Genomic DNA, 18544 nt, shown 5'->3' with positions numbered 1-18544 from the left:
CCCTTCTTGATAATCTTTTACCAAGAAACCCCTTGATAATCTTCGGGTTTTGCAACTTGGCAATTTGGTGCAGCTTGATAATCTATGCCTAATTTTAAAATGTCTGAAAGTTCTCATCAGAGCAGGACTCTATAGGCAATAAGACCGTGTGAGGGGCCTGTCTCATGTGGAGTTGGCTGGGGACACCTTGCAAACCTAATGTCTGCATTTGGGCTTCCTGTATAGAGGTCTGCTGTGCATTTAATATTTCCAGTGAGGCAAAGAAAGCTAGAACAGGAAGAGAATACTTTCAACTAAGTCATGTCTCTCAGGATCCCATATACTTCAATTGCTTAGTGGAGACAAGCCAGAGCATTTGGTTGCTCATGAGCAATTCTAATCACTCCAAGCACCCTGTGGTAATCTGGACACATACTTGGAGCTTTTCCAGAGAGCTGTTCTCAATCAGGCAATTGTCTCGATAATAGAACAATTGCATACTCAGCCCTATTTAAAGCATTCACCCTGCTATGACCACTAAACCTTTTGTTAAAATATACAGGATTCTCCTTTATTCTCTGTGTTAACACATACAAGGAGAAATGATAGCCCATAGTGAGGAAATGGCAGGTGTGCTTTCTTGCTTTCCCAGTGTAGTTAATATTTTAAGAAAAGACAAAAAAAAAAGGGAGACCATATTTAATGATTAGTAATCTAAAGTAACTCATTAATCAAGTATTTACCTAACATCCTAGCACTGAAAGCTATTGCACAGTGAATTATGATATAGGTAGTTAAAGCCATAAGGAAATGTTTGTTTTATTCTGAAATAGGGCAAAGTTGTGCTAATGTTGAGGAAAATAGCATAACATCCATGAATGCTAAAGAGTATAATTACTCCCGGAGATGGTATGTTCATGTTTTCCCTTTGTAGTCTTTTATCTGAAGAACCCAAAACCTCAAAGCGTCAGGAATTAATCTCCACTTTGCAGGAAATTGCACTTAAAAAAAATCTTACTGTGGTAATATGAGTTATCAAGACACAGTTTAACAACTCGAAGTCTCTCTACTTCAAGTTCCTAATGTGATATTTTGGAGCAACATGAACTAAATAATTGTGACTGCATTTAAATTTTCAGTACACTGATTTTGATAATTCTATGAAGGCAAATTATGTACCTGTTTGTCCCAAGTAAATAAGTGAGGGCATCAATTATATGGAAAAAAAATGAGATTTCCTTTGTTAGTAAGAATCAGCAATTTTCAGTTAAGAATGCAATGCTTTAATCAAAACCACAATGAGATACCATCTCATACCAGTTAGAATGGTGATCATTAAAAAGTCAGGAAACAACAGGTGCTGGAGAGCATGTGGAGAAACAGGAACACTTTTACACTGTTGGTGGGACTGTAAACTAGTTCAACCATGGTGGAAGACAGTGTGGTGACTCCTCAAGGATCTAGAACTAGAAATACCATTTGACCCAGCCATCCCATTCCTGGGTATATACCCAGAGGATTATAAATCATGCTGCTATCAAGACACATGCACACGTATGTTTATGGTGGCACTATTCACAATAGCAAAGACTTGGAACCAACCCAAATGTCCAACAATGATAGACTGGATTAAGAAAATGTGGCACATATACACCATGGAATACTATGCAGCCATAAAAAAGGATGAGTGCATGTCCTTTGTAGGGACATGGATGAAGGTGGAAACCATCATTCTCAGCAAACTATCGCAAGGACAGAAAACCAAACACTGCATGTTCTCACTCACAGGTGGGAACTGAACAATGAGAACACTTGGACACAGGGTGAGGAACATCACACACCAGGGCCTGACATGGGGTGGGGAGATGGGGGAGGGATAGCATTAGGAGATATACCTAATGTAAATGACGAGTTAATGGGTGCAGCACACCAACATGGCACATGTATACATATGTAACAAACCTGCATGTTGTGCACATGTATCCTAGAACTTAAAGTATTAAAAAAAAAAAAGAATGCAATGCTTTGCCATTTATATAGATCTGAGAATGAACTTCTGGATGACATAAATCTTTGTTGCTCCTTTTTAGTCTCAAGCTCCCACTTTTGGCATTTTAGGATTTTAGAGCAAAAAGGCAGGAAGAGTAGTAGAAAATTAAAATGAGTAAGTTCTATTTTTTAGCAGCTTTGATAAAAAAATGAGATTAAAATGACTAGCAAAAAAATATGTTGGGTAGGATGGGGAAATGTAATTATTCATATAATTAATTCTGCAAACACTTTTTATTGTATACTATGTTCTAGGCACCTTGCTTGCGCTAGATACTTAGAATTCAAAAACAGATTAAAACCCACGTTGGATTACTTGTCTTCAGGGGATCCAGGTCTAATCCTAACTTGATACCTATAGCTAGAGATAATCAAATTGGCAGTGCACATTTGTTCCTGGAATTCAAAAAACTTGTATATATCTGTAGTACCTATATATGATGTGATCACTATGATGGCAAATGTATTCATATTACAGCATATATAAAACTTATGTCGTGAGGTACTTTAGTGATGATGATTAAAAATATACATTAATTGGAAGAGGAGAAAGAAAAGAAATCACAAGAATGTATTTTGTTTGAAAGCTAATCACCTATTTAATTGAGGGTATCAGCTATAATTATTCCACTAACCAACCACAACTTTCAGCTGCAGTTTCTCATTCAGCACACATATATTGAGCATTTCTACATTTTTATTCTGAGTTCAGGGGATATAATGAAAAAAGACCAAGTGTCTCTTCTTAAGGTGCTTGCATCCTGGAGGAAACAGACACATACTCCACAAACCATATGGTGCAATACCCCTGAGTATTAATAAGATAGTGATTAGGACAGGATGCAATGGGATCTCGGAAGAGAGACCCTCTAAGCTGGCCAGGGGGAAACAAGAAAGGCTTCCTTAAGAAATCTTTTTATTATGCTTTATATTCCAAGCACCCAGCACAGTGCCTGGCACAAAAAAGATAATTGATAAAAGTTTGTGGGATTCCTTAATTAATTAAGGTTTTAGGCAATGTGAAGAATTCAAAAAAATATATAAGGTCCTGACTTTGAATAGCTTAAAAATTCTAGTGGAGAGATGAGACATAAGCACATAACATGAATATTAAAAATAATATATTTTAAAGAAGCATTAAAGATTTCTATGCAACATTTGTCACAGAGGAATAAAGTATTACCTTGAGTTGGAGGTGATCCGGGAAGACTTCTTGAAGGAAGTAAGAATTTAAATGTTCCTTGCAGCGTTGGTTGCTGTAGATTTCATGAGGTAGAAGGGGAAATCCCTGCTGGAGGTCAGGGAGGAGCCCAGTTTGGCTAGGGATCTGGAGCAGGATAATAGTAACCTATAATGCTGGGAAGGTAGGCTGGGGCTCAATTTAAGAGACCTTTACATTCCAAGACTAACAAATTTGAACTGCAACCTATAAATTATAAGAAGTCACTAAGAGTTTTTGAGCAGTGTGGTATCATAAAAGCTGTATTTTGTGTATGCGTATAAATATTAAACATGCAGAAATATCTTTACTTCCTTAAAGTAAAATATCTTTACTCTGTTACTCTCACCTTTTTTTCCCCTGAAAGAGATTGTCATTTTGTTCTATCTTTTATTTTCCACTTTCTAAAAAAACTTTTTTGAGATAATTTTAGACTTACCAAAGCATTGGAAGAATAGTAGAGAGTTTCCATTTACACTTCACCCAGTAAAGCTGTATTTTTGAAAAAGGAATCAGGTTAAAGACCAGTTAGGTCTTTAACATGCACATACATGTAAGTGGATTTACTAAGATTGCTCCTTTAGATAGGCTGAAAATGGACAATTAATAACACTGGATCTCCAGACTACATTGTACTCTTGGTTAAAATGACCAGCTTGTGTTTGTGCCAAGTACTCAGCCTCAGGACAAAAAGGGTTACATGTGCCATTAGTATAAACAGGAGGCATGCTTGCTTTGGGCTTTGAAACAAATGACTAGAAGAACTGCAGTGTAGCCCAGCCACTTTTGACCACCCTAGGGTTACCATGTCTGATGCCCTTAGGAAAAAGGGTCCTTTAAAACCACTCCCACTACCTTCCTCATACACTGCCTCTGTCCTCCAGGAGCAGGAGTGGCTATGGTTTGGTAGATTGGGCCACCCTTGCTAAAGGGATTAACAGGAAAAGATCAGCACACACAGGCATAGCTGTCCCTCTGGTTTACACCGTCATGTGCTTGGCATCTTTAGGGTCAAGGCTGATGTCCTTTTATGTGTGGTTAGAATATGATAAGACGCAAAAACTTGGGTATGAACATTGGGATAGTAAAGGCCTCCTTTGATTTGAAGCTACCTATGCCTCACCACCTCAGGAGAAGTGGTTGCTCCAGATACATGGTCTGGCCTGGCTGGCCAGAGTTTTTTGCACTAAGATTTGGGGACAAATCCCCAGAAAATAACAAGGTGTTATTTTGCTTTTCTTTGCCATTATTGCATCCTCAGCAACCATAGGGGAAGTGATTGCTGTAGTCTCAGAGGACTTGGGTATTTCTGATCCTCTGGCTGTAATACTAAGTAATAGCACCCTAACCTGAACACAGACCTTAACACTGCCTGTCACCTTAGATTGTGTCATATTATTTTGGTTCATAGTAAGGCCTCAAAAAAAAAAAAAAAGAAAAGAAAAGAAAATAGAGAGAGAAAAGGAAAAAGACAAATAAAACACGAATTCTCTCCCCTTTTCCTTTATTACTTTAAGTAGGAAGCTACTGTTGTTTTCAACTGTACTTTCTTATTTGAAAAAGCTCAGTTAGTGGTTAGTTCATTATAAAGTCTCAACCCCACATTCATTGCAGCATTATCCACAATAGCCAAGATGTGGAAACAACTTAACAGATGAATGGATAAAAAAAAATGTGAGATGTGTGTGTGTGTGTGTGTGTGTGTGTGTGTATATATATGTATGCATGTGTATATATGCACATGCATATATACATATATACACATGTGCATATATACATATATACACATACATATACACATATGAAATACATACATATGAAATAATGAAATATTCAGCTTTAAAAATGAAAGAAATCTTGCCATTTGTGACCATGCGGATGAACCTAGAGGGCATCATGCTAAGTGAAATAAACCAGACACAGAAAGACAAATAGTGCATGATCTCACTTACAAGGAATCTAAAATAGTTGAACTCATAGAAAAAGAGAGTAGAAAATGTTGTTGCCAGAGGCCTGGGGGTGGTGGAGGAAATGGGGAAGTGTTGCTCAAAGGGTACAAACTTTCAGTAATACAACAAACTAAGTTCCGGAAACCTACTGTACAGCATGGTGACTATAGTTAAGAATATTGGCCAGGCACAGTGGCTCACGCCTGTAATCCTAGCACTTTGGGAGGCCAAGGGGGGCAGATCACGAGGTCAAGAGATTGAGACCATCCTGGCTAACATGGCGAAACCTCGTATCTACCAAAAATACAAAAAATTAACTGGGCATGGTGGCATGCACCTGTAGTCCCAGCTACTCAGGAGGCTAAGGCAGAAAAATGGCTTGAACCCAGGAGATGGAGGTTGCAGTGAGCCAAGATCACACCACTGCACTCCAGCCTGGGTGACGGAGTGACTCCGTCTCAAAAAAAAAAAAAAACAAAAAAAGAATATTGCACTGTAAACTTGAAATTTGCTAAGAGACTAGATCTCAATCTCAAGTGTTCCCACTGCACACACACACAAAAATAGTAATGATGTGAGGTGATGTACATGTTAATTAACTTGACTGTGGTCATCATTTCATAACATATATCAAAACATCACATTGTACACCTTAAATAGATATAATTTTTATTTGTCAAGTATACTTCAGTAAAGCTGTAAGAAAAATAAGTCTCAAGGATGCCTGCTTTCATGAATAGGCAGAATTCTACCAAAAACTGGCTTATGTAAGTGTCTTGAAAAGAATATATGCTTCTGTATTAAAGGAATATTTAAAAGATTTCACAAGTATTCATTCACAAAATATCTTTTGCATATATTATTCAAGTCACCTTATGCAAAGCCCTGAAAACAAAGAAAAGAGTAATACTCTCACATAATGATCTCAGTATAGATTAAAATAGATTGAAGTAAATTATTCTGGGAAATCTGATATTTTTTAATTCAAAAGAAAAATTTTTAAGAGATTTTATTTATAAAACAAAGCCAAAGTTTTGTTTTAAAATTTTAAAATATTATAATGTAACACTTTAAAATTAGCAATATATTCATATAGCTCAAAATTCAAAAAGTATAAAAAGGCATGCAAGGAAAAATTATCTTTCTTACCCCTTAGTGGAATACGTTTAAAGCAGGAGAAATACATAAGAAAGCTGTCAGCCATCTCTCTTTCTTTCTATTTTTTTTCTGCTTTCCATGTTTGTGTTTTTGAGTAATTGTCACCATGACAACATCATATATTAAGTAAACTACTTGACATTAATCAGGAGGTCAGAATTTACTGCCAAATGTTTGGAAAGCAGCCCTTATGTGTATGATTTGACCCAAAATGTTGTTTTTTTGAACTTATAAATCATGCATTCTCTAAGGAAAATCTCAAAGCTGATAATCAAGCAAAAGCAACAGATACGTCAATATATTATACTAAGTTTAAATTATCTCATTAGAAAAAACTGTATAAATAATCAAAAGCAGAGGTTAGGCAAGAAATTACACATTGTTTCTCAATGACAATAATAGCACATATTCCTATGTTTCCTACTATTATAAAAATATTTACTAACATAAGTCCATGTCTAATATATATTTGTTGAATGAATGCTTTAAAGTATGCAAATAACAAATTTAACCAAATGTCAGACAAAGCTCTTTTAATTCCTTGGCAAATACACTTTATCCAAAATATTGCCTTAGAGAATCACACTTTTAGAAAACGAGACAGCCAAATTACCCAACCCCAACGGATAAATCTCATTTTAAAAAGACAATCACTGAAAGAAAACCCACAACTTATCATGATGGTACCTCTCTTTGTTCAATAGCAGTCAATTTCATGGAGTTCATTCTTTTGCTCAATCTATGTCTCTGGTAGCAGTTTATACTAGTTTGTTTATTTTACCTCAGAAGATGAACTGTGGCTGAACATCCTTCTTACCCTGAAATCTAATTTATTTTGAGGCAGTTAAGTCGATATTAACCTTCTGTCCAAGTCAAAACAACACCTTTTCCCATAAAGTCCTCCTCAGGCCCCCACCAATTACATTACCAGATTGCAGTCCTGAATCATTTAGTTGCTCATTTGTGGTACCCCTCTCAAATTTTTCATATCTCTCTTAAAATGTAGGTATTAAATGGAGTCATGTCTCATTACCAATGTCAAGCAAAGGGGAAGCATTTTTCTTGATTGATTTTTATCTTCTCTTTATCCCATTCCAGCAACACTCTGTTGATTTATCTCATATCCCTATTATTTCACTCTAATACTGTGATAAACTTTTAAAAAATTCTTAATAAGTGTCTCATAATGCTGAAGTTAGGCTGAGAAACGGCCCATGATAACATTCGAGTGCTCTGTTGTCTTCCTTCCTAGTGCCATTCGTTTGTTCCTCCTGAACTGCTTTCTGTTCTTTATCCACTGTTTCACTGAATGGCAAGCACCACTTTGTATCTGGATCATATATATTATTATAAAATATATACATATATATAATAATAATATATAGGAGGTGAAAACCACGGCCTAATCCAGGGTCATCCAAAGACTAGCAAACTTATTCTGAAGTCTGTCATGAAAATCACTGAAGAAAAGAGTAAATAATCCAGCCATCGGACCAAAGTTAATAAACTGGTATTGATTTACACAGTGTGTTTCAGCCTATTAATAAGGTAATTCTTAGGATTTTAAGTCACTATCATGCAACACATAACATTTGAGTCAATGACAGACTGCATATACAATGGTGGTACCATAAAATTATAATGGAGCTGAAAAATTCCTATGGGTTCATAGCCATTGTAGTGCAACACATTACTCACATGTTTATACTGATGCTGGTGTAAACAAACTTACTGTGCTGCCAGTCTTATAAAAGTCTAGCACATACAATTATATACAGTATATAGTACTTAATAATGATAATAAGCAACTATGCTATTGAATTGTATATTTACTATACTATACATCTCTCATTATTTTAGAATGTACTCCTTCTACCTGTTTTTTGTCCTAAAGTTAACTGTAAAACAGTCATAGGCAGGTCCTGGAAAAGGCATTCCAGAGGAAGGTATTGTTAGCAAAGGAGATGACAGTTCCATGCATGTTACTGCCACCGAAGACCTTCCAGTAAGACAAGATGTGAAGGTGGAAAACAATGATATGGAGGATTCCAATCCTGTGTGGACCTGGGCTAATGTGTGTGTTTGTGTCTATATGTTTTAACAAAACAATTTAAAAAGTAAAAAATAAAAACATTTAAAAATCAAAAAAGAATATAGAATAAGGATATTAAAAAAGAAATTTTTTTTACAGTTGTTAAATGTCTGTGTTTCAAGCTGTATTACGAATAGTCAAGAAGTTTTTAAAAATTTGAAAGTTTATAAAGTAAAAATGTTACAGTAAGGTAAGGTTACTTTATTGTTGAAGAAAAAAATATTTGCATAAATTTAGAGTAGCCCAAGTGTACAGTGTTTCTAAAGTCTGCAGTAGCATACAGTAATTTCCTAGGCCTTCCCATTCACTCACCACTCACTCGCTAACTCACCCAGGGTAACTTCCAGTCCTGAAAGCTCGGTTGATAGTAAACGCCCTTTACAGGTGTACCTTTTTTTTTTTTTTTATCTTTTATGCTGTATTTTTACTGTAGTTTTTCTTTGTTAGGCACGTTTAGATACACAAATACCATTGTGTTACAACTGCCTACAGTATTCAGTAGAGTAACATGCTGTATGGGTTTATAGCCTAGGGGCAATGGGCTATATACCATATAGCCTAGGTATATAGCAGGCTCTACCACCTAGGTTTGTGTAAATACACTCTGATATTTCTACAAGGATGAAATCACCTAAGGATGCATTTCTCTAAATGTATTCCCATTGTTAAGTGATGCATGACTGTAATTCACATTTTACAGCACAAACAGAATTAATAATTTCGTGTAGCCTTTTAGTGAAAATCTATTGTGGCCATTAGCTGATATTTTGCATCTATTTCATGAAGACACTCAAGAAACTCAACAACAGAGGGAGCACACACATTGCCAAATTCCTGCTGCAAAATAAAAGGCAGGAATAGAATCAAAAGTTTCCTAACATTCTATCCTGTACACAATTGATAGTCACATCATCTACTTCTTAAGATAGATTTCATGAAAATCAACTTAGCACTGGATCTCATTCACATTTGAAAGCTAAAGAAACATGTTTATACACATGCTAAATTTCTGAGGAGGACCAATCCATATGAAAATAAGTTCAGTTCTAGGTGGAGCAGACTATATTTACCACGGCAGTCTTGGACAATAACTCAATGTGAGATGAACTTGCTGTAGCAGAAACACAAACTTATTTTCAAGTAAAAATGCTTTTTCTGAAGATAATACATTTAAAAAGTGTGAGGCAAAGAAGACAAAAGTCTGATGAATCTAGTAGGACTCACACACAGGTAATGCTTGTTCTTTTCCATAGACGGCTTTTTTCTCCAACCATAACTTTTTTGCATAGCTTGGCATTAAGTAGAATGTAAAAAGAGGCAGTAATTAATAAATAATGCCAATGGGTCTCAAGTTGCAAGATAATTTTCCAAAGGACGAATGTGACCATTTAGATGACTTGACTCACTGCCTCTCTCATTTTGCCCCTTATTTGTGAGTATGTGATCATACATACATAGCAGCAAGCAAAACAACGCTTAGGTTTAAAGCTTGATCATGTGCAGAAAGAAGAGAACAAGATCCCCAGCATGTTTTTATCAACACTAAGATTATTCATAAAGGATTATTATTTTAATAAAGTAACACCTAATTTATTAAGCCATAATGCTTATAACTGTAGCTCACATAGTAGAGTATTAGGGAATCTTTTATTTAATAGTAAACACTTTTTTTAAGTATCAAAACTTTTTCTCTATTTTACATCAAACCTATCAATAAAACTTTAAATTCTTTACTTGTCTCTGAAAACAAACCCAAACAGTATCTTTTAGCAAGAGAGAGTTAGTTTATATATTGATTTTAAATTTGGACTTTAGATTTTTTCATTGGTTTGCTTCTATTGACTAGAAACATCTTTCTAATCAGTAGAAACCAAAAGTCCTCTGCCTAGGTTTCAAGGCCTCCATCATCCATCTCACTCATTTATTCAACCTTGTTTCCCTCTCTTCTCACTGCACACTGTCTGTTCTGGACAGGCGATCCTGGATGTTCTCTAGGTCTGTCTTTTCCACTGCCTGTGCCTTTGCTCATGTTCTTCCCACTAGCAGGAATGTTCTCCTTTTTTCATATGCTTCTTCATGGTCTCTCTGTTTTCCAGATCTACCTTCTCCTCCAAGAAACCTTCACTGGTACATTCCTGATCCCCTCTCCATGCCCATCATTGTACCACTCAGATCTTAAGCAGGTCCCAGTTATCAACCTTATCTACTCCTATTCTTCCCCTCACCTTATTCTAGCTCCTCTGGCCTCCAGGCACACTCTTGCCTCAGGGTCTTTGCACATACTGTTCCCACCATTTGAAAGGCTCTTTCCTCAGTCATCCGCATGCTTACTTCCTCACTGCTTGCCAATATAATCTCAAATACCACCTTTCTTAACCATGCTACTTAACATTGCAACCCCATTCCCAGATTTTCTATTCTCTTTCCTTACTATATTGTTTGCACTTTATTATCATGCAGGCAGGATTTTTGTCTGTTAAATTTACTGCTGTATCCCCAGTGCCTAGAATACTGTATGGCACATAGTAAGTACTCTAAATACCTGCTGAATACATTAAGTGAATTTACTGAATGTTAACTACAGTTGTCTCTTGGTGTCTGTGAGGGATTGTTTCCAGGACCTACCATGGATGTCAAAATCCAAAGATACTCAAGTCCCTTATATAAAATGGCACCATATTTGCATACAACCTATGTACATCCTCCTGTATACCTTAAATCATCTTATTTAAAGATTGTAAGTAATCACTTATAATACCTAATGCAGTGTAAATGCTGTGTAAATAGTTGTTATATCATATTGTTTAGGGAATAATGACAAGAAGAAAGCCTGTACATGTTCAGTACAGACCCAATTTTTTTCAAATATTTTCAATCTGCAATTGGTTGAATCCACAGATGTGAAACCCATGGAATTCAGAGGGTCAACTGTATATCCTAAGTGCTTCATAAATACAATAAATTAAATGAATTTACTGAAATGTATGTCCTAAATGCTTGATAAGTATTATCTTGTTTAATCCTCACAATACTCTATGGCAGAGGTTCCCAACCCCTGAACCACGAACGCAGTACCAGTCCTTGGCCTGTTAAGAACCAGGCCATACATATTTATAGCTGCTCTCTATCACTTGAATTACCACCTGAGCTCTGCCTCCTGTCAGATCAGCAGCAGTATTAGATTCTCACAGGAGTGCAAACCCAATTGTGAACTGCACATGCAAGGGATCTAGGGTGTGTGTTCCTTATGAGAATCTAATGCCTGATGATCTGTCGCTGTCTCCCATCATCCCCAGATGATGGAAAACAAGCTCAGGGTTCCCCCTGATTCTACGTTATGATAAGTTGTATACATATTTCATTATATATTACAATGGAATAATAATAGAAATAAAGTGCACAATAAATTTAATGCACTTGAATCATCCCAAAACCATCCACCTCATCCTGATCTGTGGAAAAATTGTCTTCCATGAAACCAGTCCCCGGTGCCAAAAAGGTTGGGGGTCTCCTGCTCTATGAGAAAGGTTCTATTACTCCCAATTTTGCAGATGGAAAAATGTAACACAGAGTGAATTAACTACAGTTAAGTAACTAGCAAGTGGCAGTGTTGGGAATCAAGTCTTCTAACTTAAAAGGACAATGTCTTTTGCACTTTATATGTCCTTTAATGCTTTATATGTCCTAAATGCTCTTACATACATTCTATCCTTACTGCAAAAATAAAAAAATGAGCGATTACTGAAAAGAGTTAGTTTATTTATAGTATACAATCACTTTCTAAAAAAGAATTTAAGGCAATTAGCTTTAGATATAATTTTTCTCTTCCAGAAAAAAACAGGAGGAGGAGGAGGGAAAGGAGGAGAAAAAAATGAACACCTACATTATAACAATTACTTGCCAACATTAGGCGAAAAAAAGTAGGGAACCCAAGGCTTGGCTCTAGTGTCTTTCTAGGAATTATTAGGTAAGAAAAACATCCTGAATCGTCTGGAACATGAAATAAATCTATACTAAGTCTAGGTACTCAAAACTAAGAAGATTACAAAAATATAAATTGCAGGCACCTAGTAAGTCCACAGTCTGTTAGTACTACAGAGCCTGGTCCAGGAGCCATTGTCCATAGGATAGGATGGGGATGGAGCATGAGTTTTAAGTAGAAACAATAAAACTGATGAAGGCTAACTGAGCTGTTATCTATACCATAAACACTGGGGTGGTCATATTAGATTTTTACAGCCAACAGCAGTTCTTACTGGTTGATGCCCCTACTGTCTGGGTTGCTAAATATTTTGGAAATCATCCCTGAAGCTAACATTTTTTTAAGTGCTTAATATACACTGGACACTATGCTGAAAGCTTCCACAGATTAATCCATATAGTCCTCCAACATCCCTATGAAGTAGAAACACTTATTATCCTCGTTCTATGGATGAAAAAAGCCACAAATGATAAATAACATTCACCAAGTCACACAGCAAAGTAAGCAGTCAAGCTGGACGCACACCAAGGCCTTCTAGCTCCTTAGTCTCTCCCTCAGTCACTGCACTCTACTGCCTAACAACAACCAATGGTTTAGCATTGGCTAAACAGACCATATAATATTTTTAGATAAATCTAAACTTATGTGTAGATTTATATTTATCTGAAATACTAAAATCACTATCTTTCTTCTTAACAATTGTTTTTGCCCCTTAGTCATCCCAAGCAAACTCCTTGAAGGTATAAAGTTTGTATTTTCTACCTTAGTATCTCCAGGACAGAGTCTAACATCACAGGCGTCTGATAAATGTTCATGGAGTGAGTGAAAAAATAAAAGAATGACATAACTGGATGTTTACTTTTACATCTCACCTGAAAAATGGCACTTTCCATAGATATAAAGCCCCTTGGCTCTGAGTGTAGGCTTAGACAAATTATGTATTAATTATTAAGTGTAGCCAGCTAAAAAATCACCAGAGCAGAAGTTACAATAGTAAAACTAACAAAAATACAAACAAGCACCATATTAAATAAGAGTATATAAAATAAACCTTAATTAGCTTCTTTTCTCCACCATAAAGCAGGAGAGAAATTAAGCCATGGAATGAAAGTTTTAATTTACTTAAGTAAATGAACAATTTAATGTTATGATCTTCCTGATCTTATAAAAATATTACAGGTTTTTTTTTTTTTGCAAAGCACAAGGCCTACCAAGTTGAGAAATGCATGTTTATTACTCCTAAACATAGGTATGTATGATTTGGTCATGTTTATTAAAGGAAAATCACAATTGTATGGTTGGCCTTTATGTTTCAAATATTAACATTTTTATTAATCACAATACATTTTATCTTAACTGAGTGTGTTCCTCTTTAAATGGCAATCTCATAACATATTTAAACTGTATAAGGATCACTAAATAGAAAATTTAAAAGGAACCTCCAGAATATTTTTCTCAAAATAAAAACAGTTCAATCTTTTTCCTCTCATCTGCCTTACTCATATACCTTTTCATATACAGAGTTTTAAATAGCTATATTAAAACTTAGGATAAAATTCTCCTCTCCTTAAAAGGGGTGATCTTAAACTAACAGAAAAGAGCCTTTTCTTGCTTCCTTCCCTCTTCTCATTCTCAGAATAATGTCTGCCTACCAAAGACTAGAATGAGACTTTCGTTTTAATTTTAACTGAAGCACATGTCATAGTTGTATTACTACACTACATCAACAGGAAACAAAATTACTCATCCATTCCACTGAGATAGCTAATACTAGAAGACTCAACACATTTTCTCCCTTCTTAAAGGACCTATGTGATAGGATTAGGTTTTGCAAATTCCAAAATACATTTACGGGGTGGGATCTAAAAATGGAATTCCTTTGCCATTCACTTTAGTTTTAAACAGCTTGTTTATCTTCTTCCTGCTAGCACAAAATGCAGTACAGAAATGGAAACCAGATTTCTTTATGTAGTGAATTTCATGTGGTTTCCACATTTCTCCTGGTAGTAGATTCCCAGCAAACACACATCTAAATAAACTACTCCGTGAGTGAATTTTAAGTCAGATGGCATCTGTAGCATTTTGTGGCACTTCTAAACACACTCTCAAATGCTCCAAAAATGGCCTACACATTGTGGCATTCTTCAACTCAGTTTTAAAATCTTTATACAGGTAAATAAAGATTATATAATGTAAACTAGGAAGGTGATTTTTTAGTGGCCTTGATTCTTACTCAGAAGGAATCCTCTTTCTTTGACTCCTTCCATTCAAGAAAATCTCAGATTAATTAATATGTGTTTATTCACCTGATTCCATTTGGGAAACCATTGTAGAGCATACCTAGAAACTACAGGCATGGCCCTGGACCTCAAGATGCTTCTAATCAAGTTAGAAAGATAAGATATAAATGTCAGAATAAGTGAAACGACAGTTTAAGAAGAATCAGCAGGTCACAAGCAACGAATGAATGAACGAATGAATGGAACAGACGATAAGGTCTATATATGTTATTTGGAAATATTTGGTATGCAATATTCTTTGGAACCTTAGAAAACTGCTTTTAAATAAAAATATGATCAATCTGTAACTCCATCCTTCTTTCTCCACCCTTCTGAAGACACTTAATGTTTAAAAAATTCAAAAGCTACTGGCTCATAGAAAAATTACTTTAAAGGCCACATGGAAGTATCAAAGCAATTAGTTTGGGAGCTATTTGTTTTTAAGAATGCACACCTAGGGTTTAATTCATCTGACTGAAAATTTAAGGAGAAGAAACAAAATCTTATTAAATAACCTAACACATTTTTTTACCAATAACCTCAATTCCAACTTCATGTTCTAAAAAAGAAACAGGACGAATAGGGGCTGGAGAGAAGAGGAATACTCAGAGAAAGTTTCGTGCTGAATGGAGGAAAGATGGAAAGAAAAGATGAAATAGTGGAAAAGAGGAGGAGGAAGAAGGGCAAAAACTAATAAGCCTGTTTTACTGAATGCTTTCTGATCATGTGATTGATGCATATATTGAAGTATGGGAAATTAACACATATCACTGCCTTTTGATAAAATAACTAGTTTAATATTCTCTGCTCCTATTCTCTGTAAATGTTCAGGGACAACATAAAAGTCACCAAGGGTAGAAATGGTATTTGCTACAACACCATAACCACTTTCCCTAAGGCATTGCCATGGCAATCCTCCAAACTGTTGCCGTATGAACTTGTTGCAGAATGTTTTCAAAAGCATCCCAATTTATTTTATCCATATCATCGAATTAGGCCTCCCAACCACCTCTGAGGTAGGTATCTTTCTTTACACCATTTGACAAATGAGGAAATGGCACAGCTGAACTTGAACCAATCAATTCTAATGCTCCTTCTCTGATATCTCAGTTGAATCCAAAAAAGCAAAGGTTTCATTTAACTTCAAAGAAGTAGAATTTGTTAAAGAAAGATGAAATTTTGAAAGTAAATATAACTAATTAAATCTGTACAAACACTAAATCACCAAACAGTTTCTGCTCTGGGCGCCGAAACACTTGGCTTTAGTGTTTTCACTGTGAATGTTAATTCAAAGCTTTTATTTCACAATCACATTGTACATTGGTAAGCAAGTTATCTTACACAGTTATGTAAATTATCTTACATGGTTAAAAACCGTTTTTAACATGGCCCTTCTAAACAGTTTCTGTCCGCATGCACATACACAAAAAACTCACTAAAATTCCTCTATAATGAATGTGAAGGAGACACATACCGTGGGAATGGTAGCTTTAAGTGGGGAATTTGATATACTCAGAAATCCTCCCATATACATACACAGGACAAATGCACTGAAAATGATATAGTATGGGAATGCAACAGAAGTGGCATTCATCTAAATTTGTCTGAATCTACAACATGCAATCTAAAACAAAATCAAATTAAATAATAATAAAATAGTTACAGTTGACATTACCTCAAATCAGATCCAACCTAACCCGTATAAGAATCACAGGGTGAGCAATACTAATTATTTTATGATCTGAAGACAAAGATAGAACTAAAATTAAGGTTGATTTACGAAGTACATAGGGCAAAATTTACTGGAAAATCAACTCCCACTAGCTTTCTTGTTCTTTGTTAAAGATTAAAAAGAATGAGGGACTCAACTTTCCAAAAATTAACCAATTGAATTGTAGTACTAAAAACTTCTGGGTCTGGGATCACTGAAAAAAAAAAAAAAAGGAAGGGAAGTCCATTATCTTCAAACTGGCTTTACCACTAGCAGAAGGCAATTACTTCTGGCAAATTCAAAAGAATCCTTTTAGCCAGCACGGTGGCTTATGCCTGTAATCCCAACACATTGGGAGGCCAAGGTGGGAAGATCCCATGAGTCCAGGAGTTTGAGACCAGCCTGGGTAACACAGGGAGTCTCTTCTCTACAAAAAAATAAAAAAATTAAGATTAGCCAGGCATGGTGGTGCACACCTGTGGTCCCAGCTACTTGGGAGGCTGAGAGGTAGGAGTATCACTTGAGCCCAGGAGGTCGAGGCTGCAGTGCGCCATTACTGCACCACTGCACTCCAGCCTGAGTGGAAGAGTGTTTCAAACAAACAAACAAACAAAGACTCCTTTTATACCACTTATCCTCACTGTTTTCCTCTCTTCAGAAAACTTAAAAACAAACAAACAACAATTAGTGCACTTCTCAGTACTAACTTCATGAGACCCTGAAAATGCCTATGGATGCAAGTTGAACTCCAAGCACCTGCCCTAGTAGTTGACACACACACTGGCCAGGAAGCACCTGAGACCACCCCACATATTCTCAATGAAGTACAAATCCTTTAAAGAAAAAATGATTATTTAATAATCTACTAGCTTTTCAGCAAAACAAGACATTATTTCAAAAGCAATCATAATCCATTCTGGCCAATGAAAACAAAGGCTAGTTTTTTCTTGAAGAACCTGAGGAGAGATGGAAACAAAGTAAATTGTACCAGAGGAAAACATTTTGTTATAAGACAGAAGATTGGGAGTAAAGTGAGTGTTCCCCAAACAAAAATGAACCAATAGTACACAAAATGTGTGTGTAGTTTTAAAATGCATTCAGTGACAGCTCCACTCGAATAGAAACCAATAACTTGTTGCATTTGCAAAATTACAAAGGTATTTCTTACCCAGTATTTCCATGTTAACCTTTAACTATTGCTATGAAGCTCTGACAGGCAAAAGTTAAAACAATTAAAAAGACTGAAACGTCTATACACTAAAACTAACGTTTAAGATTACAAAAAAACACTGCACATGCGCTAGGCTTAAAATAATATTACCTTAAAAAGAGAAAAGAATTTATTTTGGTGTTAATAATTCTCACATAGAGATGATCTAGTTTAAATATATATACAAATACATACACACTTATATACATATTTACATATACTATATACACATATATATGCTCACATACATTTGTACACACAATTGCATATATATCTAGATCTATTTATCAGTCTACCTATCCATATATCTGTAATAAAACCAGATAAACTCAAGGGTGAGAAAGGTTATGATGGCTTTTCAAAAAGATTCTCCAAATGGTTATCTTAAGAAGTCAGCTTCCATTACAGTGTTTTTAAAACAATCCTGGGTGGCTGGTGTGTCCCGCAGCAGCCCTACCTGCATAAAGCTTAGCTCTGGGCCAGGCCCTGTTCTAAGCTCTTTTCAGAAAACCCTGTTTTAGAGATGAGAAAACCAGAGGTCAGAAAAGTTAAATAATTTGCCAAGGAAGCATCATAACAAGCTGTGAAGCCAGGATTCAAACCCATGCCAGCTGGCTCCAGAATACCCACACGACACTACCTCCTTGAGCTTCTGCTTCCTCATCTGTAACCATGGAGAGATCCTACCTTTCAGGATTGCTGGATTAAATTATATCACATGTGAAAGACACTAGCATGGACCCTGACATAAAATCAGTGCTCAAAACAAAATACTAACTAACTAAACAAAACAAACCTCTAAATTCAGAAAACAGTATATGTTATTGTCTCTATAGCTTTTGTAGTCTCCTCCTGAGTGGCAGTGAAATGGCACTGAATCTGATTCTGTGTGGCAAATGGAAATCATTTTTAGTTG

At 35.8% G+C, this 18544-nt stretch overlaps 1 protein-coding gene across 22 annotated transcripts in view; it reads right to left on the bottom strand.

Annotated features, from left to right (window-relative positions):
• The window catches only part of DNM3 (dynamin 3), a 576969-nt gene that overhangs the window by 249552 nt on the left and 308873 nt on the right, over nt 1–18544 (bottom strand). For 5 of the 22 annotated variants that reach the window (XM_017000979.2, XM_017000976.2, XM_017000977.2 and 2 more), the window contains one exon: nt 3212–3355. The exons of the other annotated variants lie outside the window; for them this stretch is intronic. In XM_017000979.2, coding sequence (XP_016856468.1) covers nt 3212–3355 — 144 coding nt within the window. The remainder of the gene's footprint in view (nt 1–3211; nt 3356–18544) is intronic. 22 annotated transcript variants of the gene reach the window in all.

Source organism: Homo sapiens, chromosome 1 (assembly GCF_000001405.40).
Source record: "Homo sapiens chromosome 1, GRCh38.p14 Primary Assembly".
Classification (NCBI taxonomy): Eukaryota; Metazoa; Chordata; class Mammalia; order Primates; family Hominidae; genus Homo; species Homo sapiens.
This window is presented reverse-complemented; position numbering and strand designations above follow the sequence as displayed.